The sequence below is a fragment of the Homo sapiens genome, chromosome 15 (genome assembly GCF_000001405.40).
Source record: "Homo sapiens chromosome 15, GRCh38.p14 Primary Assembly".
Lineage (NCBI taxonomy): Eukaryota > Metazoa > Chordata > Mammalia > Primates > Hominidae > Homo > Homo sapiens.
The window spans coordinates 76,167,344-76,189,756 of NC_000015.10; the positions used below are offsets into that span (position 1 = coordinate 76,167,344).

The following is a 22,413-nucleotide window of genomic DNA, read 5'->3' on the forward strand; positions in this document are numbered from 1 at the left end:
CCTGTAGTCCCAGCTACTCGGGAGGCTGAGGCAGGAGAATGGCGTGAACCTAGGAGGAGGAGCTTGCAGTGAGCCAAGATCGTGCCACTGCACTCTAACCTGGGCGACAGAGTGAGACTGTTTCAAAAAAAAAAAAAAAAAGAAACCATATTATTATGTGGTGTGTGTGTGTGTTTTGGAGACAGGGTCTCTCTGTCACCCAGGCTGGAGTGCAGTGGCATGATCTCAGCTCACTGTAACCTCCGCCTCCCAGGTTCAAGCAATTCTCCTGCCTCAGCCTTCTGAGTAGCTGGGATTACAGGTGTGCACCACCACACCCGGCTAATGATTGTAGTTTTAGTAGAGATGAGGTTTCACCATTTGGCCAGGTTGGTCTTGAACTCCTGACCTCAAGCGATCTGCCCGCCTTGCCCTCCCAAAGTGCTGAGATTACAGGTGTGAGCCATCGCGCCTGCTTGTTACATGGTGTTCTTACACAGCTGAGTACACTCTGCAGAACCAGAAACCTCTGGGTCCAAATGTTACCTTCATTCCTGATGGTTGTGTGGCTATGGGCAGCTTCCTTAACTTCTCTGACCCTTTCTGTAAAATGGGAATCACATGTTAGAAGGGCTGGCCCAGGGTCTGGCATTCACAGACATATAGTAGATGGCAGATATTATTCTCATAAATAGGAAGGATTATAACATGTAACCCACCTCTCTGGCAGAAGGAGAAACTGAGGCCCAGGGACGGGATTTGACTTGCCCAAGGCCACACAACCAGCCCATTATTGAGCTCTGATCTCAAGACATTGTGGCCACCCCACCCAGATCTCTCCCCACCCCTGCAAGCTGTCTCGCAGTTAAGCGTGGGGCCACCCACCCAGAGACCGGGAAGTTATAGCGGAGCGGACTTCGGGCTGCCACATGCTCCTCTCTCTACTCAGAGAAGGCAACATGACTGTCCCCCACAAGCATTCACCTTCCCATCCCTTCACAGAAATCAAGATTGTCCTTCACGAGAAAGAGCTGGATTTTACCAGCCAAGCCTTTCTGTGGCATAACAGCTGTGGGTGATGATCCTCCAGGCAGCTTCGCAGAGTTCAGAAGGCTAGGCTTGTACTACAGGCATGCGGGAGAGGGGCACCATCTGGTGTGAATCACCGTGAATTAAAGTCATCTTGGCTCAAGGAAGAGCCTGCAGACAAATGCACCGGCATCTTACGAGACCAGCATTTAGGGGCTTCTTTGGAGAAAGATGTCCTCTTGGTGAGGAAACCGCTCCTGAAGGCAGCACCATTCGGGAATTATTCCTTCATGCACGCATTGTTCATCTGTCCACAGTGCATAATCGCCTGGTGGCTACTGTATGCCAGGTGTTAGGGATAAAAGAGAGACAGCAGACCAGGTCCCTTGAGCCTCCACTGGGGGATGGGGAGGGAATCAGCACAAGGTACAAGGCAGTGCTGTGGAGGGTGACGCCCAGAAACCATAGGAACACCCAGGAAGGAGGCACCAGCTGAGCCGGGGAGTGTGCAAGAGCTTCATGGAGGTGACGTTCAAGCCAGAAGGACAGGAAGGGGAAAGCCCTGCTGGCTTAGGCACAGGCCAAGCTGCTGTTACAAGAAAACCAAAATACAGGGGCTTAAACAAGGCAAGGTCCATTTCTCTCTCACGGAAAAACACATTAAGTGGATAGGTAAGGCTTGGGGTTGTTGGGGACCCAGCAGGCTTTTGTCTTGCGGCCTGGCCCTCCTTGGTTGAAGATGGCACACCATCACACTTATGCACCCAATTCTGGGCCTTGGGAAGACGGAAGGAGGAAGAGGAGCCTAATTCATTTAAGGGCACAACCTAAAAGTTGTACTGGGTGCTTCTGCTTGCTACCCATTGGCCAGAATGTAGTCACAAGGCCACTCCCAGATGCAAGGAGGGCTGGGAAATGTAGTCTTTAGTTGGGTGGCCATGCTGGAGCTTCAGTTATTGTACAGGAAGGAGGGAGGAGATTTGGGGTCGGGGAGTGGAGAAGGGAGTCAACTGCGTTTTTGCCACATGCAAAGACAAGGCCATGAGAGAGAGAGCTTGTATATTTGAAGATTCGTAAGTGGTTTGCAGCATGACAGGAGTGGCAAAAGATGACACAGGAGAGGCAGGCAAGGTCCTAAGTATCCTTCCAAGGGATTTGAGTGTATTCTGTATGTACAGGGAGCACTGAAAATGGCATCAGCAGTGCCCAGGGGATGGCACAGAGATGTGGGGTCTGAGCCTGCAGGCAGAGGAACCAGCAGGAGGCACGGCCACCACGAAGGCTGGAGCTGGGGCACTGGCAGTGGGAGTGGAGAGGGCACAGGGGCCAAGGAATGCTTAGTGGATGGCGGAGACCTTTTCCTTTTACTGAATGCAGAAGCAGAGCTCTGAGTGCTGAGCTCTGGAATCTTCTCGGCTGGAGGAAGACCTGGAGAATAACCACTTTCTCACTTCCTTTCCTCAGACTGTTCTACGGATTGTGGTGCTTGGGATCTGGGATTACATCGAAAACAAAATAGAGGTAAAGACCAATGTCCACCCCCAAAGCCCCCACTCTGCCATCCTGGAAGCTGGAAAACGTCATGTCCCATCCATTCCAGGGTGGACACCATCAAGAAGGCTGGTTCCTTCTCCCACTTGACCTCTGTGGCTGTGCATGTTGGGTGGGGCAGGGAGGGGGAACTGAGACTGTTTCCAGCAAAGGAATGTTCTGAAACATTCATTTAGAATGTTAAAAGGAATGCAGAACTCCTTGAAGTTCTGCAAAATTTTACAATTTGAATCAATTTGAAAAGCTTTTGAAATGTGTTTTAAAACAAATAAATCCACCCTAAATGGAAAGCTGAGCGGGAAACTGTCAACGTGCTTCTCAGGCTGGGTTTCCGTTCTGCTTCCCGCCACACGGGTGGGTGTGGTGGGTGGGATGAGGTCAGGGAGGCCTGGCTGTCGCTGGCAGTGTTGTGCACACAGACAAGGCAAGGCGGCCAGATCTGCTGCCCACTCCTTCCTCACCTCTCCATCTATATTTCAGCCTCTTTGGCTCAGTGCTGGGATCTGACACAGTGCTGGGATCTGACACAGTGGGCCTGGCCGATGGATGGCTCAGAACACGGCCAGGCTGGGGCAGGCGGACGGAAGGGCAGGGCCCAGGGCTTCATTGTGCAGGCTGGGCCCACTTCTCACCTAGCCCTGCCCCGCTGGAGAGTTAGAGACTCTGCACTGGACACAGCTGAGATGCGGGTTCCGGGCTCCTGTTCCCCTCGGGGAAGGAGGCACCCTGAGCCTGCCTTCAGCCCCTGCCCTGCCAGGGAGGGATCCAGCTTGGCCTCTGCCCAGGGCCTGGGATACAGGATGCAGGCCCTATCTTGAGAAGGGGCAAGACAGCCCAAGGCCATCTGAACTAAGGGCTGGAGATGGGCTGAGGTCACTTGGAGGACAGAGTGCATTCAGGAGAACGTCTAGGAGGAGGAGGCCCCTAAAGACTCAGGAGGGTCAGGAGGGGCCACCCGGGGTGGGGTGGCCTTCTGGTGGGGGCCCGGGCTGCTGGAAAAGTTGGGCAGCACCAGCTGCTTTGCCTGACTGACCCCTGGTCCCGGACACACGGCAGGGCCCAGGGCACTGAAATGGGCCTCCTCTCACAGGTGTTTGACGGGGCTGTGATCATCCTATCTTTGGCTCCGATGGTGGCATCCACTGTGGCCAATGGACCCAGGAGCCCCTGGGACGCCATCAGCCTCATCATCATGCTCCGGATCTGGAGGGTGAAGAGGGTCATTGATGGTGAGTGGCCCGAGGGGGGTGTGGTCAGTGGGGCTGCTCCAGAAAGTGGGGCTTTCAACTGAGAGGAGATGCCGTGTGATGGGGGTACACCCTGCTGGCGTCAGGACGGAAGGTGAAACTGTCGGCAGGGAGAGGGGCCAGCTGTCCCTGCTCACTCGCCATCACGCGTTCATGCACACTGCCAGGGTGTCACACGTACACGCTGAGCTTCCCACTTCCCATTTAGGGGCCATGTGTTCATTCCCATGCAGCTATTTACTGTGAGCCTGGGGGGGCCAGCCCCCATGCAAGCCCTTAGAGCAGGGCCTGCCATTCTGGAAGGAGCAGACTTTTACACCCTGGGCGTCTCGATGCACACCTGCTGCTGGCTCCCCGATGGCTGCCAGCCTCACCACTGGCTCTATCCAGGTCATCTAGTCAAGGCCTTGCTCCCTGCAGGCTTTGTCTCACCTTTGAGTCCACCAAGGACAATCTGGCTGCCCACAAGCCCATTGACCTGCAAACAAGTAGAGAAGGGAGCTGCTGGCAGGGGCTGGCTTTTGGCATGTGCTTCTGTCATCTTTAGTGACGTGCCTTTCCATCCCTGGGTCTCCATTTGCAGAAAGTATCTGGTCCACTCCTTTGTCATTGCTTTATCATTGCCACCCCACTGGGCCACTCTTGTCTGGAAAGCTGTGCCCTGACCTGGGTGGCTCCTGTGTTTCCAGAAGGTGGTGACAGACCAGAGTGAGTGGCCCAGAGGACATGGGGGACAGAAAACCCACCCCTGAAGAATGGTGCAGGATACTGGGGGTGGGGGGTGACCCAGAGGATGACGACAGAGGCAGGACACTGAAGTCATCTTATGGAAGGGGGAAGACTCAAGTCGCTGGGCTCCAGAGGGTGTCCTTGGTCCCTGAGGACAGGACGAAGAGGCCCACCCCACCTCAGCCAGATAAGGAACAGAGCCACTCATAGGGGGCTGGTCAGCCTCCAAGAGAGGTCCCCCTAGAGTGACCAGGAGGTTGTATAGACAGTGGTTCCCAGGATGTTTTGTTGGTTTGGTTTGGTTTGGTTGACAGCAAAGCCCTTTCTTCAGCAAAATCGTACCCAGTCTGTAAAAGAGATTGCAAGTGGAGCTGCTTTGGTTGACTTGGAGTGGAGGGGCCTCACAGCCCACCTACTTGCCTTCTCCCTTGCCCTCTGAGGCACCTCTAAGAAACTGCCAGGCCTTCTGGAGCACGGTTTTAAAACCACTGGGATAGATGCTATGGTCTTTTCCAGCCCTGAATTTTGATTGCAGATGATAAAAATTGAAGCCATGAGAATATTCCGCCAGCATTTGCCACGCAGGTGCAAGGCAGAAGCTGTCACCCTCAGGGTGGGCTCCCTCTCCCTGGGCCTCACCCTATGTTCCACCCTGCGAACACTGTGGGATTTGGTCCTGATGAAGATGCTGCCATCTTGTCAGGGATCCCCCAGTAGGGAATCTTCATCAAACTGGAATGTGTTTGGGTCTCACTTCAGAAGCCTTCGGAAGGCTGGGAAGGCTCTGGGAGATCACCTGGTTCACTCCCCTCATTTGACAGATGGGGAAACTGAGGCCAAGAAGGATGAGGGTCACATAGTGAATCAGGCTCAGAACCAGAAGTGGAGCCTAAGACCCCTGACACCCACCAGCGCTCTTTCGGCTGCTCACTCCCTGCAGTCTGCTCAGGGCCCTGTTCTTGGCTCTGTCCATGAGAACATCCACCCCCGCTCGGGGCAGGATCAGCGCCTTCTGGGTCTTTCTTCCAGCTGTGAACAGCCGCACACCCTCACACTAATGGATTTTGAGAGCCCCCTTTGTGACGCTCTTCCCAGCTGTCCCGCCCTTTTCCTGACACATCAGGCATCACGGAGCTACCGGGAGCCTCAGGAGAGAGACGTGCTGGTGAACAGATGGGCGTTAATTTGCTACTCTTGCAAATTAACCCTGGGTGTGAACTGGCTTCAGCAGAGATTTGAGGAGGCAGCGGCATCTTGGGGCGGCCTCTGGACCTGGAGATGGGTCTCAGGGACACGTGGCCGGTCCTCAAGCAGAAAAGTCCCAATGTCTCTTCTCTGCTGATTCCTGCAACAGCCAGGAAACATCTGGAGGTGCAGAGGCTGTGGGTGGAAAGGAGACTTGGAGAGAGGAAATGTGGAGGGTTCTAGAAATCAGGGGCAAGAGAGGCATGTGACCGAGGCTTCTGAAGAGTCAGGAAGGGCTGGGTTTCGAGGGGTGCGGGAACAGTGTGAGGAGAAAGGCTGTGTTAAAGTCAGGAGTGGACACTGAGACTTCCAGGAGCCCAGAGCTACTCTGAACCCACAGAACCACCAAGGGAGGTGTCCGTGGGACTACTGCTGGCTGGTGGAGCACAGGGCCCTCAACCTCAGAGGCCAGGCTTTCTCTTCTGGGTCTCACTATATCAGTTATAAATAGGATCATCTGAGTAACAGAGACTCAGAATAACAGTGTCTTAACACAGAAGCGTATTTCATTCACGTGAAAGTCTGCAGGCCAGGCATGGTGGCTCATGCCTGTAATCCCAGCATTTTGGGAGGCTGAGGCAGGCAGATCACCTGAGGGCAGGAGTTTGAGGCCAGCCTGGTCAACCCTGTGAAACCCCGTCTCTACTAAAAATATAAAAATTAGCTGAGTGTGGTGATGCACGCCTGTAATCCTAGCTACTGGGGAGGCTGAGGCATGAGAATCGCTTGAACCCAGGAGGTAGGGGTTGCAGTGAGCTGAGATCATGTCACTGCACTCCAGCCTGGGTGACAGGGTGAGACTCGGTCTCAAAAAAAAATAAAAAAAAAAAAAAGAGGTCTGTGGGAAGGTGGTCCAAGACAGATATGGCCTTGACTACAGTCACTTACTCCCTGTAGTCAAGAGCCCAGGCTCCTTCTGTTTTTCTGTTTTGTTGCTCTGCTGCACTTAGCCTACTTTTCAAAGCCACCTCATGGTCCAAGATGGCTGCTTCCGTGCCAACTATCACATCCTCATCCTAGCCAAGAAGGAGGAAGGGAAGAGGATAAAGAGGCAAAAGGAAGGCCCACTGCCTTCTCATTTTAAACATCTTCATCCAAATATAATTCACATGCCGTAAAATCCACCCATTTAAAGTCCACAATTCAGCCAGGCATGGTAGCTCATGCCTGTAATTCCAGCACTTTGGGAGGCTGAGGCGGGTGGATCACTAGAGGTCAGGAGTTTGAGACCAGCCTGGCCAACGTGGTGAAATCCCATCTCTACTAAAAATACAAAAATTAGCCAGGCGTGGTGGCGGGTGCCTGTAATCCCAGCTGCTCGGGAGGCTGAGGCTGGAGAATCACTTGAACTTGGGAGACGGAGGTTGCAATGAGCTGAGATCGCCCACTGCACTCCAGCCTGGGTGACAGCAAGATTCCATCTCAAAATAAAAGTTCACAATTCAGTGGTTTCTAGTATATTCAGAGTTCTGCAGCCATCACCAAAAAATCTAAGTCTGGAGTGTTTTCATGACTCCAAAGAGAAAGCCTACACTCATCAGAGTCACTTCCCATGTCCACCTCAGCCCTAGGCAAGCACTAAGCTGCTTTCCATCTCTATAGAGTTGCCTGTTCTGTTCCATTACATTTCATATAAATGGAATCATGTGACGTGGTTTTTCTCTGCTGGCCACTCTGATTTAGCATCATGTGTTTGAGGCTCATCTGTGTTGTGGCTGGTGGCGGGACTGCACCCCTTTTCATTGCCAAGTAGTACTCCACTGCATGGCTAGACCACAGTTTATTCACGCATTCATCGGCTGATGAACATTTGGGTTATGTCTACTTTTTGACTGTTAGGAATAATGCTGTTATGAATGCTCATGTGCGAGTTTTGTGTAGACACATGTTTTCCTTCCCCTAAGGTACCTAGGAATGGAGTTTCTGGGTCATATGGTCACTCTCTGTTTAACACTCTGAAAAACGGACAAACCGTTTCCCTAAGTGGTTGCCCCGTTTTCCTTTCCGCCAGTGTGTGCAGGCTCCAGGGCCGCCCCATCCTCACTGGCCCCAGCTCCTTTGTGAAGAAGGCTCCTGCAGCTGCTGCATGCCACCTCCACTAGCATCCTATGGTCCAGAAGGTGGTCTTGTGGCCACCCATAGCTGCAAAGGAGGCTGGAAAATAGTCTTTATTCCAGGCAGCTGTGCACACAGCCCAAAAGTATGGGTTCTAGCACTATGGAAAACAGGAAAACAGCTACCCTGGACACCATGAGCGAAGGCTGTGGCCCTCTGTACTTTCTGGATGCTCTCGGGTACCTGGACATTTCCCCTTCTAGATCCACAGAAATGGCCCAGGGCCTCGAACCTGCTGCTGCCTGAATGCTGGGCCCGCCCTTCCCTAGTCCAAGCCCTGCCACTGCTGAATTCTTTACAGGGCTGTCTCTGTCTTCCAGCCTACGTCCTGCCAGTGAAGCTGGAGATGGAGATGGTTATCCAGCAGTACGAGAAGGCCAAGGTCATCCAAGACGAGCAGCTGGAGAGGCTGACGCAGATCTGTCAGGAGCAAGGGGTAATGCACTGCCACTTTCGGCTCTGTCCGTGGTCTTGCTGGGGACACTGGTAGTGCCTAAAGCCATGGGTTGCTAGAGCTGCAGGGGCACCAGAGGTCAGGGAGTTCCTCCAGCCCCTTGTTGGACTCATGGGGAACCTGAAGCCCAGAGAAGGGGACACATCTCCAGGTTCACTGATGTATAGCCCAGCCAGGCATGGACTCAACCCTGACTCCCAGGCCAGGGTTCTTTCCACTGTAGCACGGTGACTCTTCAGCTCCCCAACCTGAGTCTGCCAAGTCGCCCCCTCAGTTCATCAGAGTCTTCTCGGAGACATGGTCGGTCTCTAAAGCCAGTCGCTAATTCTGTCTGCTGAGGGTTGCTGGGCACCATGGTATGCCCATTGCCACGCGGGACGCCCAGGGCCCCAGAAAGATGCTAGCGGTGCTCTCTACCCTCCAGGAGATGTGATGCAGACTCAGAGAGGCAGGTGGTGGGCCCTGCAAGGATGGGCTCAGCAGAGGCAAGGGGGACTGGCAGCTGGGCCAGGGGCACCCTGTCGGGAATCCAGAGACCTGCATTCAAGGCCTAGCCCTGCTGCTCCCACCCCGCCGGACTCCGGCCAAGTTGGGCCACCCCTCTGCCCTCAGTTCCTTCCTCTGTAAGATGAGGTGGCTGCTCCCATGTGAGTGGGACAGAGGAGTTCAGAGGAGGGGGATTGGGGTACTCAGGAGGGGGTGGCTGCTGGATCCCGCAGCAAGGCTGAGAGCTCTGTAGAAGTGCAGCTCGGTGTGCAGGGAAGGGTCCGGTCCCAGGCTGTAAGGTGGGAATGCTACTGAGGGGACTGGCAAGGTGGTGGGAATGTGGGGGATGGTCCAAATGACATGCATGGTCATTCCCATTCTGCCCGATGGATTCTGGGGAGAGGACAGGGCCACTGCCCCCAGCTGCGCAAGCCAGAGACGCTAAGCCTGTGGCTCTCTGTGCCCAGGGCCAGGCGAGTTCTTCACGGGCTGTCTTCCAGCCCATGTCCTGCCAGTGAAAGTGGAGGAATGCCCGTGGCCGCATATTGATGTGGGCACTGAGCCCTTCTGGCTTGCAGTGCGGTGAGGATGGGCACCCCTGGGCTCCCTATTCCTCCCCCATTGCTGGGTGCCCAGGCAGTCTCCAAGGTGGCCTCAGGGTTGAGGTCTCATGTGGCGTACAGGCCTGCTATGTGTCTGCCCGTCCTATCGACCTCCTCTCTCATGTGTCTGGTGCATAAACACCCCGACTGTGCCAAGTGGAGTCACCTGTCATTTTGACAAGCCCTGTGCCATGCCACCTCTTGGGTTTTGGTTGCGCTGTGCCCCTTGCCTGAATCCCCGCCCCTTGCAAGCTCTGTCTGTCTAATTCAAGTCCTAGCCTCTCTACAGAGCATGTTCCCCCCGCCAGTAGCCTCTGCACCTCCTCCCCCAGCCCTGCAGCAGCCCTCACTTGTCCACATTCACAGGGCACTGGGCACTCACTGCCATGGTCAGTGCTCCTTTATGCCTGGGGCAGCTCTTCCCGCTGAAATAGATGCCCCCTGAAGGCAAGCCTTAGTCCAACTCACATCCGGCCCCAGCCAGCACTCCGCGCGTTGTAGGTCTTGGTCAATGTGTGTTCAGTGTATGTCGTGGGTCTTGGTAAATGTGTATTCTGTTGCGGGTCTTGGTAAATGCATATTCACTGTACCTGTTGGCTCCTCGACCAACCCCAGCCTCTCACAGTTTTGGGGTGGGGGACACGTCTGTGGAATGTCACAACAAAGTGATCCTGGGAAATGTCCCCACAGGAACACGCACACAGTGTCTTCAGAATCATCCCCTCGGAATGTCTGTCAGGAAACCAATCTTTTTATCTGCTTTGGGAACACTATGACCTTTTGTTTCGCACAGAATGCCTATGCGTGACAAGAGGGGTCATCAGGGGACATGGCCCTCAGGGGCACGTTGTCCAAGGTGTCCCGAGAGCAGGGCAGGCTATGGAATCCTAGACTAGGAAGAGAAGCATTCCCTTCCTGAGGAGCTGGCATCAGCTTCATTCATTCTCTTGCCATATCGCGTGGTTAGCCAGCACCGTCCAGAGCTGCTCTGTGCTGGGCTTGTGCCGGGCATGTGGATGCCGCCTAGGACAGGGTGTGACCCTCGTCCTCACGGGGCTCTGGGTGACTCAGGGGGTTTGGCAGCCCATAAATAGGCAGTGGAAATCTGGTGCAATGCCTGTATCACATGGGCACGTCCCGGGCTCTGCAGGCCAGGATGGGGAAGGCTTTCCAGAGGAGCTGATGTGGAGCAGAGCCCTGGGGAGAAGGCTGCCAGGCAGAGGGAACAGTGTGGGGTGTGCGAGTGGGTGCAGTGCCCCCGGGGTTCGGGGCCATTTAGAGGGTGAGCAGAGGGAGGCAGTAGGATTGGGGACAGGCTTGGGAAGGGGCTCTGTGGCTGACCAGAGAGTTTGGGCTTTATCCTGCTGGGACAGAGGAAGCCTGGAGGATTAAAAGCAGGACTGGGGGATCTGCTCAGATGTGAGTTGTTGATGGAGCCTTCTGGCTGCCGTTGGAGGCTGGATGGAGAGGGCAGGGTGGAGACAGGAAGACTGGGGACAGAGGCTGGAGAAGAAGGTGAGAGAAGCTGGGCTTTAGGCAGAGGGGGCTGCAGGGAAGTGGGGAAAGTAAAGTGCAGGGTGTCATCCAGAAAGCGACTGGAAGCCGATCAGGCAGTTCTCATTCTGCTGTTGAACAGGAAAACAAATGCTCTACTTCACTGCAGTTGGCAACGTGAAAGACACGGACACAGGGCTGCATCCGCCCCTCATAAATTCGCAGCCTCCCAGCCCAGCAGGGAACGCGCTGACCCTGCCGCACACCTCACCTCAGCCACACATGCGCCACGTGGCCAGGAGAAAATCCTAACGGCAACCCCACCTCCCAGGGTTTCCACCATGACCTCTGTCCGGAGCCCCCCGGGGACCCCAGGTTCCTGCCGTCCTGGTTCAAGTCACCTCCACATGTGGCCTCCTTCCCGGGGGTCTCAGCCGGAGGGAGACTCCCTTGCATTCTGCACAGGAAAGAGCCAATAAATAAAGACAGATTCCCTCTAGGTAGCGACATCTGGAAAAGAGATGAACAGAAACGAACCATTTTAATTTAAAAAACACCTGAAGCCTGTCATCTTAGTTAAGACAGCAGAAAGGGCCAGACAGGCTGGACTCCCAGTGGGGCCACCGGGGAGGGTGGGGGCTGCCTGGCCAGAGGGACCAGGAGGGCAGCTCTCCTGGAGTCTGTGGTGCCCACTCCACAGAGCGAAGCAGACAGATGCCTCACTTGCAGCTGTATTTTCAGACCTGGTTTGAGACTTGACTGGGTAACAGATACCCTGGAGGAAATGAGACTGTGGGCCCTGGAATGTCAGAGATGGCTAGACCCTTGGAGACAGCAGCCCATGGAATGGTTGAGAATAGACTTGGTTCTAAATAGACTTTGAGCTGGCTTCGAACCCAGGTGTGTCTCTCTTTAGAACACTTACTGGCCTTGTGGCTTTGGGCATTAATGGGACATCTATGGGCCTTGGTTTTCCTAATCTGAAAAATGGGTGTAGTAATAGAATCCTCGAAGGATGGTGATGAGATCGTAGCCTAAAGCCTGACACATGATGGGTAGCAACTAATGGGTGTGGACCCCGAAGTCCACCAGCCCCACCACACCTGCCCCACACACCCATTTTACAAATAAGAAAACTGAGCAGTGGCAGCTCGCCTTGGGGGCACACAGCTAGTCCAGGGGGGCATAGAACCAGGTGTCCTAACTGTGAACACTGTTCTTTTCCAGCCCATCACGTTGAGCCTCCTTTTTCCTACTCATGGCACTTAGCACTCAGCAAAAACATTGATCAGATTATGCATGGGGTATTTTATACTGCAGGCACAGACCTGGCTCCCCTCAGCTGTCTCAATGGCAGCCCCCAACCCCGTTCCAGGACAGTCTAGTATTCCTTGTGACAAACTCTTGCTGTCTCCTTGCTGGAATTCTCAGAGTATAATGAAGACATTTCCAAACTGAATTCACATATGCTGCCTGAAAAATTGACATTTACCAATGAAATGTGTTAGGGTCCCAGTTTAAATACAACACCTGGCCTGGCGCGATGGCTCACACCTGTAATCCCAGTGCTCTGGAAGGCTGAGGCAGGAGGACTGCTTGAGGCCAGAAGTTTGAGGCTGCAGTGAGCTGTAATGACACCACTGCACTCCAGCCTGGGCCACAGAGCAAGACTGTCTCTAAAACAAAACAAAACAAAACAAAACAAAACGCTTTTCACTCCCTTGCTCTCTTGCTGGGGTGTGTTTGTACAACTATTTCAACTATTTGCCACAACTTCACCCAGCTCTTTTTAAAAAAATAAACTTTATTTTTTAGAACAGTTTTATATTGACCAAAAAATAGTGAAGCAGGTGCAGAGTTCCCTGTATCCCTTGTGCCTGGCTGCCCATCATTAACATCATACACTAGTATCATTTGTTACAATGAACAAACCCACATTGATACGGTACTCAGGTTTTCTTAGTATTTAATCTGTTATGTCCTCTGTTTGCTCCACGTCGCATTCAGTAGGCTTAGGCTCCTCCTGGCTGTGGCAATTTCTCAGACTTTGTTTCTGATGACCTGAAGGGTTTTGGGGAGCACTGGTCGGGTGTTTTTGTTTTACAGGATGCCCCTCTGTTGGGATTCGTCTGATGTTTTTCCCAGGGTAAGCCTGGGGTTGTGGGTTTTGGGAGGAAGACTGCAGAAGGAAAGTGCCATTCTTATTGTCTCACATCAAGAGGACACACTGGCCACGTGACTTCTCACTGTGATGCGGCCTGGATCACCCGGCTGGGGCAGCGTGGGTCAGGTGTCTCCACTGCACAGTTACTCTCTGTTTCTTCATCTTAAGCTTTTTTTTTTTTTTTTTTTTTTTTGGAACAGAGTCTCACTCTGTCACCCAGGCTGGAGTGTAGTGGCGCCATCTTGGCTCACTGCAACCTCCACCTCCTGGGTTCAAGAGATTCTCCTGCCTCAGCTTCCCGGGTAGCTGGGATTACAGGCACCTGCCACCATGCCCAGCTAATTTTTGTATTTTTAGTAGAGACGGGGTTTCACCATGTTGACCAGGCTGGTCTCAAACTCCTGACCTCAGGTGATCCACCCGCCTCACCCTCCCAAAGTGCTGTGATTACAGGCATGAGCCACCGCACCCAGCCCATCTTAACTTTTTAAGAAAGATTACATTGCTTCTTACCGTGACCCTGTGGAGACTCTCAGGTGAGCCTGTTGGCCAGTTTCTTGCATGAATATCTGATTCATTTCACCTTCTGTGCTACATGGCAGTTCATTTCTTGTCACAGGCCCACATGCAAGGTGCTCCAGAATCACCTTATATAACAGATGAAAGGTCCCTGGGGAGGGCAGCTGGCCCAATCCAGGATTTGGCAGATGGGGCATCTGAGGCTCAGAGAAAGGGAGAGGTGGGCCCAACGTGGCACAGCAGTTATGAGGCCAGGACGAAAACAGGTCTCTTGTTGCTCATTCCAGTGCCTTCCCTCCTGGATCACACTGGCCCTCTGGCTTTGACAGGGAAACAGGCTTCACTGCTTCCCTCATTCCTATGATCTCTTCTGGTTGTGGACACACCTCATGCTTAACAGATTCCTACTTGGGGAGGGGTGCCTAGAGGATCCCGGGAGGGGAGGAGGTCTCTCTGCTGGTCAGTCATACCATTCCAAAGCCCTGGCCATGCCTTCTGCAGTCCCTTCCAGACTCCCCGCTGCTGTGATAGAAGCACATGGCTTCTGACCCCTGAATTCAGCAATTCCTCAATTCCTTAGGTGGAAGTTCTTTTCCATTCTTTTTGTTTGTTTGTTTGTTTTTGGTGAGGGGTGGATCTTGGCCAGAATTTCATGACGAGTTAGGCTCGCTGGTACACAGATGGAGTCCAAAGTCACGATGCTAGAGGCTGCCCTTCAGAGAGACGGTGTGGATGCCTTGTCTCTCTCTCTGTCTTGGCTGCTTCAGAAACCAAAGCCATTTTAGATGCAGCAGTTAAATCAATGCAACGATATACTCTTCTGACTCATCTCACGAAACCACCTCTGAGGTTTTATGTACCTCCATGCGTGGGATCTCGCTCTAGTTCCGAAACACATTCTGAAGTCTCCGTTACACCCGCTCTTTCATGTTTAAGCCTGGTAACAGCTTTTGGTACAAAATAGTATGATCTGACCTGGCCCACTGTGGAAGTTAGTTTCTCTTCTCTGACGTTCTGCTTCCTCAGCACCATTCACCCTGAGATCATTGGCAAAATACTGAGGGATATGAGGCTCAATCCGGGGTGACTCAAGGTCCAGCCTCCAAGGAGACCAGTGGGACCTGTGAGCCCCTTAGGACATCCTTAGACCTTGGGAAAGGTGAGTCCCTTGTCGGGGAGCTTGGAGGAGTGGAAAGAATCCTCTTATTCGGGGAGCCAGCAAGCCAGATTCAAACCTCAGCCCCACCAGTGACCAGTCATCTTCCCTTTAACCCCTGAGCCTCAGCTTCTCATTGGGGAAATTGGAGGTAACAAGGCCTACATCGTGTGGATGCCATATGCATCAAATTAAATCTGGCCTGCTGGAGGCTTTCAGTAAGGGTTAAAAAAAAGAGAGAGGTCGGGTGCGGTGGCTCACACCTGTAATCCTAGCACTTTGGGAGGCCGAGGCGGGCAGATCACGAGGTCAGGAGGTCGAGACCATCCTGGCTAACACGGTGAAACCCCGTCTCTACTAAAAAAAAATATATATAAAAAATTAGCCCGGTGTGGTGGCGGGTGCCTGTGGTCCCAGCTACTCAGGAGGCTGAGGCAGGAGAATGGCATGAACCTGGGAGGCAGAGCTTAAAGTGAGCCGAGATCATGCCACTGCACTCCAGCCTGGGTGACAGAGCGAGACTCAGTCACAAAAAAACAAAACAAAACAAAACAAAAAAAACTACTAAATGTATCTATATGATGGTTGCTCATTCACAAATGCACTGTCATGTTTTAGCTCATTTTTCCTTTGCTGGTGAAAGTTGGCAGGCTGGGTACTATTAATCCCTTCACATGGAAAGACTGAGGCTCAGAGAGGCTATTCTTTGGCCAGATCCTGTAGTTTTTCATGGAGGGACTAGGAAAGAAACCCAGGGCTTCAGTGTCCATTTCCCTGCGCCAGAAAGAGGCATCTGCCTGAGTCACTGATAGTTAGGGTGAGTAACACCAGTTGTTGCATCCAGCAAATCCAGAAATCTGAGTCCTGACACAGGAGGAGTACATTTGTCACTCTCATCATACTCCAATGCAGGTTGCAATGGGGCAGGGTGGAGGGACCCTCTGTTCCACACAAGTCACTCAGGCCTCCAGGCTGCTTCCATTTTGTGGCTTTTTTTTTTTTTTTTTTTTTTTTTTTTTTGAGATGGAGTCTCGCTCTGTGGCCCAGGCTGGAGTGCAGTGACATGATCTCGGCTCACTGCAACCTCTGCCTCCTGGGTTCAAGCGATTCTCCTGCCTCAACCTCCCGAGTAGCTGGGATTACAGGCATGTGTCACCACCCCTGGCTAATTTTTGTATTTTTAGTAGAGATGGGGTTTCACCATGTTGGCCAGGCTGGTCTCGAACTCCTGACCTCAAGTGATCCACCCACCTCGGCCTCCCAAAGTGCAGGGATTACAGGTGGGAGCCACCAAGCCCGGCCGATCCTTCTTCCTCCAAGTCCTCGGAGTCTTCTCCAGTCAGTGGATAGGAAAGTGAGGCTGGGGAATTGGGCACAGCAGGTTTTTATTGGCCAGGACTGAAAATGGTGATATTGCTCTGCCCCCGTTTTATTGGCAAGAGTCAGTTGCACAGTACCAACTAGGGGCACCAGATGCTGTCAGAAGTGGTCTTTGTGCCCAAGAAGAAAACAGTCGCCTGCACAGTCACCCAACCCATAAAACAAGGCCAATGGGCTCACAACATTCCCTACCCTTTCCCCGGTTCCACCACAGCAGGCGGCACAGCCACACTTATCAAAGTCCTTCCTGGGGGAATGCCATGCCTCCCTGGCCTGTTTTCCTGAAGAAACAAGATGATAATCTTGACCCTGCAAGCTGTAGGCATTTCTGATGGAGGAAGATGTGAGGAGAGGAAGCTGTCACGCCCCCCCTCCATCCCCTTCGCTGTCTTTCACGTGGAGGAACCGGAGCAGACGTGGGAGGTGGTGGGTGGTCTGATTGGGAGCCAGGGCCCATCTCCCCATCCAGGCCTCTCGCTGGACCCCATTGTCCCCTGGTTTTCTGGACCCCTGAGAGAATGCCAACGGCTCTGCGTAGGTCACTCGCCTTTGAGGCTGGGCTAGCAGCTCAGAAAAGGGGCCAAAGGGCAGGAATAGCAGGAATAAAGCCGTGGTTCCATGCTGGCTCCAGGGACGGGGCTTGAGGCTGGCTCATTCCAGAGAGCTCCTTCTTTTCCTACAGAGGCCACAAGTTCCCAGCTCAGCACAATAGCCTTTGTTACCTGGATTATTCAGGATCTCCACTGTGGGAAGTGAAATTTTTTTTAAGATGGGAAGTGATTTGTAAAACAGCCGATAGCTTTAATGACAAGCCTATTTAGCTGATAAAATCAGCCATCAGAGGAATAACTTATGTTATCCTTTTGCCATAATTTAAATTTATGGCCAACTACCAGTCATCTTCACAGTGGATGGAAAGGGGCCAAGGTCGATCTCAGCTTTACTCTGCTCCTAAATCATTAGTTTGCAACTGTCTCCTGATTTTTATTGTTACCAACAACGGTGAAACTAATGGAAATAAACATTGGATGCTATCCCAACAGCAGATGGGTTTGAAGGCAGGGCAGCCTGTGCAGACAGCACTAATAGGATGGAGCAGAATTACTGCTATTGCATTAGATACCATCGAGCTTCTGGCCAAAGTGTGCATTGATCAGGACAAGGCCCGTGTCAATTGGACTCCACAACCGGACCATTAAAGGCGGAGAAGCGCTGGGTGTGCCCGTCCTGCCGCCCCGGTGGGTCTGACCCCTCCTGGGCTTGCATTAAAAGCCCGGCCCCGATGGAAGGGGCCTGACTCACTCCAGTAATGCATACTGCGGGCTTCCCTGTGGATCCCAGATGATCTGGGCAGGTTATCTGATTAGAAATACTTAGCTAATGATGTGCACTAAATGGGGCTGTGACTGCACTTTAATTCTTCCCAAGCCTAGGGATGGTCTTTTTTTCCCACCGGGCCCATTTGCCAATGGAAGATTTGCTTCATCGGAGCCACTGTGCACCTTCTTTTCCTAAGGCACAGGCCCGTGTGAGCCCTGGGGAGCCCCGTCCTGTTGTGTTTCTTCCTGTTTTCAGCAGTTTGACTGCAAGGTGCTTCTGTGTGGATTTCTGTGGGGTTTTTTGGTATTTATTCTGCTTAGGAGTTTCTTAAATTTGTGGATTGATGTTTTTTATTAGATTTGGGAAGTTCTTGGCCATGGTTTCTTTATTCATTGCACCTGTCTCATTCGTCTCCTCTTGGAGCTCCAGTTGTACCTGAGGCCATTTGATTATGTCTCACGTTTCTCTTAGATCCTACTCTGCTCCACTATTCATTCTCTCTCTCTCTCCCTGTCTCCTTTTTTAATGGCTGTAAGTTTTGATGTTTTTCTATAGACCTGTCTTCAACAACCCTACTACGTCCAATCTCCTGTTAAACCCATCCAACCAACTACTCAATTTCAGATACTGTATATCAAGATTCTAAAAGTTTGATTTGATTCTTTTTATAGAGTCTAACTCTCTGCTGAAACACTACGCTCATTTTGTCTGTCTTTCTCCCCTATTTTTGTTCACATATTAATTGTAGTTATTTTGAAGTCCTTGTTTGTTCACTCAAATATTTACCCAGGTCAGCTTCTATTAACTGTTTTATGGCTTGATAACCACATGTTTTTCTGCTTACTTGCATGATGAATGATTCTCATGGTGTGCTACACATCATTGATGATGCATTTTAGAGGCTGTGGATTCTGTTATCCTTCTCTGAAGAGATGGTTCTCTGGGAACGGGGCATTTTGGCAGGGAGTAGAGGATGGCCCTCAAGACAGCAGCAAGCCTTAACTGCACTTACACTTCATTCCCTCCAGGTGGGGTCCTGGAGCTGGTACAGAGCTCGTCATTGACTTGGAATTCAGTGAGTCCATTTGCCTTATTGGACACACAGTGAAACCAAGGCCCGGGGAAGAAAAGAGGCTCACCCAAAGTCAGGGCAAGGGAGGGGTGATGGGCCAAGAGCTCAGCCTCCAGCCCCTGCTTTTCCCTCTGGTGACTTTCTGTTCTCCTGGCCCCTGCTACCATCAAGCTGCCCTGGATTCTGTTGGGCTGAGTCACTTCCATCTTGCTTATAAGGCTGCAAGTTCCCTGGCTCAAGGTCTTGGGGGCTAGAAGCCAGGGGCGTGGGCTGTGGCCCCTGCTTTGCTTCTGAAGCACCATGTGGTCCTGGCCTTTCCCCCATCCTCCCTCCCAGCACAGGAGGCTCCTTCCCACCTCCGGGCCTCAGTTCCCCATCTGACTCATGAGGCCCCAATGTCCTAGGGCCCCTGGGAAACACTGTGGAGGCACATGTGGCCATGATAAGCATAGGAGGAGCCAGGAGCCCAGCTCTGAGGGTCCCGCTAGCACCTCCTGAAGTTCCCCTGGGCTGTCCCAGCCTGTGACTGGGCCAACAGCCATTTTGCCCATGTGTGCTTCCCCTCTGAGGAGTCAGTCATTCCTTCTCAGGGCAAGATGGACAGCTTCCAGTCACCCCACACCCTCTGGGTGTGAAGCTTGCCAAAATCTGTCCCCTAAGCAGGTTGTCCTCTCCCTCACCGCCATTCCAGTCCATGCCATGTGCTGATATCGCACCTCCGAGGTAATTCTCTTATCCCTCCTCTTATCTCTCTCTCCACCTTCGTCCCTACCTACTTGTCTCTGGCATGGACTGCTGCAGTAGCCTCCCACCTGGCATTCCTATATCCACTCTGGCCCCATCCAATCTGTTCTCCATTCTGCGGTCAGCATGGTCCTTTCAAAATGCCCATCTGGATCACTGTGTACCACCACTCCCACCACTCCACCCTTCTGTTTGGAGGATTCCAGTGGTTTCTTGTTGTTCTTTAAAACATCTTACTGTGGCTCCAGGCTCTGCCTGGTGGGGCCCCAGCTGAGCTCCCCAGCCCCTTACCTTCTGGCCCTCTGGCCCTTGTACACACTATGCCTCCCCTGCCATAAGTACCAGCCCAGGGCTGTGCTTGGCTCTCGGAGGCGACTTGTTCCCTGCAATGCAGCTGACAGCCCGCCTTGTTGGGGCTATCCAGGTTTTACCTGCAAGCTGAGAAAGGCATTTTCATTCCAAAACCTGTAACAGAAGGTTAACATTGCCCCACCATGGTTTACTTGACTTCCTACTGAATGAATGAATGAATGTGAGAACTGCCACACACTTGGAGTTCATCTCTTTAGCTGAAACTTGCTTCTGTGTATGTGCCTACGTCTGCACATGTGGGCCTGGGGCTGGGCAAGCCCTGACCTCTGGCTGTCTTGGCCTGAATTCCAGCGGGACATTCTTGGGCAGCTCCATATCAATTACAAGCCATCAATAATGCATCCCTTCAGAGCAGCCAGGAAGCCATTAGCTGGCCTGCAGGCCTCGATGAGTGGCCTTGGAGAAAGTGGGCTGGGTGTGCCCATGGGAGGTTCAGATCAGCAGGGCAGGAGGGGCTCCCCCAGCAGAGCTTGGGAGGGTTGCCTTATGGGCCTTCAGTCGCCTCTGAGACCTTGCTGCCAGAGGGTTGGCTTGCACCCTGTCATCCTGCACAAAAAGGCTGCCCTATAATGAGCTAGCCTCGCTTTCTCACTCTGTGAGCCCTCCAGCCACCTTTGAGTGTTTTAAGTGCTGGGTTGTTGAGGTTCAGTGTCTGAGCCCAGTGTGAGCCCAAAGTTAGGGCTGAGTCTGTGACCAGCATCGGGCTCAGTGTGTGATCAGGGTCAGGGCTCATTGCATAGCCAGCATGAGGCCTCAGTCTTTGTCTTAACTTTGGGACAGGGGTGCAGCTCAATTGGTGGTTGGATTTAGGGCCCAGTCTGAAGCCAGGGAGTTGAACAGGCTAACTGGTTTCCTGCATTGATTTGTTCATGTATTCAGCAACGTTTATTGAGTGCTTCTTGCATACCAGGCAACACAACAGATAAGACCCCTGTTGGTTCGCAGATGATATTCTCCTGGGGGTGGAGGGTGGCAGGGGTGTGCTGGAGCTCTCACTTGCTCACGAGAACCCATTGTGCACATTTCCCCCAGGGCGTCTTGTTGGTAGCTTGAAATCAGCCATGCTAGGAGTATGCCTTCCCCCCCCACCCCGCCCCACTGGAACACCACTAGGGGCTGAACAAGAGGTAACTGATAATCCTTTAAAAATGGTGGTTTGTTTTCACGCTGCTAATAAAGACATACCCAAGACTGGGTAATTTATAAAGGAAAGAGGTTTAATTGAGTCACAGTTCTGCATAGCTGGGGAGGCCTCAGGAAACTCACAATCATGGCAGAAGGGGAAGCAAACACGTCCTTCTTCACATGGCAGCAGCAAGGAGAAGTGTCAAGCAAAAGGGGGAAAAGCCCCTTATAAAGCCATCAGATTGAGGCAGGCAGATCATGAGGTCAGGAGTTCGAGACCAGCCTGGCCAACACGGTGAAACCCTGTCTCTACTAAAAATACAAAAATTAGCTGGGCGTGGTGGCACATGCCTGTAGTCCCAGCTACTTGGGAGGCTGAGGCAGGAGAATCACTTGAACCCACGAGACAGAGGTTTCAGTGAGCCGAGATGATGCCATTTACTCCAGCCCGGGTGACGGAGCAAGACTCTGTCTGAAAAACAAACGAACAAACAAAAACTAAACCATCAGATCTTGTGAGAATTCACTCACTATCATGAGAAAGCATGGGAGTAACCACCCCCAAGATTCAATCACCTCCCACTGGGTCCCTCCCACGACAAATGGGGATTATGGGAACTACAATTCGAGATGAGATTTGGGTGGGGACACAGCCAAACCATATCAAGCATGATCACAAATATTTATCTGATTTCCTTCCCCAAACCCCAATGGAATGATAGTAAAGAACAAAATCATAAATGCATAAGAATTAAGAAACTATCTCTTGGACAAGTACAGTGGCTCACACCTGTAATCCTAGCACTTTGGGAGGCTGAGGAAGGTGGAGGATTGCTTGAGTCCAGAAGTTTGAGACCAGTCTGGGCAACATGGCAAGACCCTACAAAATATATCTTGTCCCTACAAAATATAAGAATAAAAAAATTAGCCGGGCATGTGCCTGTCGTCCCAGTTACTCAGGAGGCTGAGGTGGGAGGATCACTTGAACCCATGAGTACAAGGCTGCAGTGAGCTATGATCATGCCACTGCACTTTAGTGTGGCAGACAGAGTAAAACCTTGTCTCAGAAAAGAAAGAAAGAAAAAGACAGAGAAAGAGAAAGGAGAGAGGGAGGAAGGGAAGGAGGGAAGTAAGGAAGGGAGGAAGGGAGGAAGGAAGGGTAGGTCTCTGTCCATCGTGACAATCTTGTCTCAAAAAAAGAAAGAGGGAGCAGAGAAAGAAGGAGGGGAGGGAGGGAGGAAGGAAGGAAGGAAGGAAAGAAGGAGGGAAGGAAGGAAGGCCTCTTTAAGTCTTGTCCATCAGGACAAAGAGGAAAGAGGTTTTAGTGAATTGCGGGGAAATGAAGACTAGACAAGAAAGTGGCAACTGATTGAACAGAGTGGGGCATGTGTCACTAAAGTGCTCACAGAGGAGGACAGTGAGGGAAATGGGGTACTTTTCCCCTCGGAACCCCTGAGAGTCTGGGAGGAAGGGGGTGTAGTGTGAAGCTGACACTGGGTGGGGGTGGCTAAAGGTCTGCATGCATAATATTTGAGATCCCAAGACACCCTCCCAAATCCTGCATGGCCAGGAGACTGAGCTCCCCCACCCTGCAAGAGTCAAGGGGTTTGTCCTTGGGAGAAAATGAACC

At 52.3% G+C, this 22,413-nt stretch overlaps 1 protein-coding gene and 1 long non-coding RNA gene across 5 annotated transcripts in view, besides 2 other annotated features; one reads left to right on the forward strand and one right to left on the reverse strand.

The window, feature by feature from the left end:
* The window catches only part of TMEM266 (transmembrane protein 266), a 144,979-nt gene that overhangs the window by 107,359 nt on the left and 15,207 nt on the right, over positions 1-22,413 (forward strand). For all 4 annotated transcript variants that reach the window (XM_047432151.1, XM_017021915.2, NM_152335.5 and 1 more), the window contains 3 exons: positions 2,473-2,529; positions 3,650-3,788; positions 8,216-8,331. In XM_047432151.1, the coding sequence (XP_047288107.1) occupies positions 2,473-2,529; positions 3,650-3,788; positions 8,216-8,331 (312 nt within the window). The remainder of the gene's footprint in view (positions 1-2,472; positions 2,530-3,649; positions 3,789-8,215; positions 8,332-22,413) is intronic.
* LOC101929439 (uncharacterized) lies at positions 7,548-14,143 on the reverse strand. Its single transcript, NR_120360.1, has 3 exons — positions 13,609-14,143; positions 11,203-11,441; positions 7,548-9,127 (listed from the first exon to the last, which is right to left on the reverse strand). It is a non-coding gene; the product is annotated as an uncharacterized LOC101929439 (long non-coding RNA).
* Positions 14,234-14,283: an enhancer, noted in NCBI's record as "active region_9874". NCBI's record gives its function as "activates an Ori minimal core promoter by ATAC-STARR-seq in GM12878 lymphoblastoid cells {active_cell/tissue: GM12878}" and the evidence as "EXISTENCE:reporter gene assay evidence [ECO:0000049][PMID:35858748]".
* Positions 14,494-14,543: an enhancer, noted in NCBI's record as "active region_9875". NCBI's record gives its function as "activates an Ori minimal core promoter by ATAC-STARR-seq in GM12878 lymphoblastoid cells {active_cell/tissue: GM12878}" and the evidence as "EXISTENCE:reporter gene assay evidence [ECO:0000049][PMID:35858748]".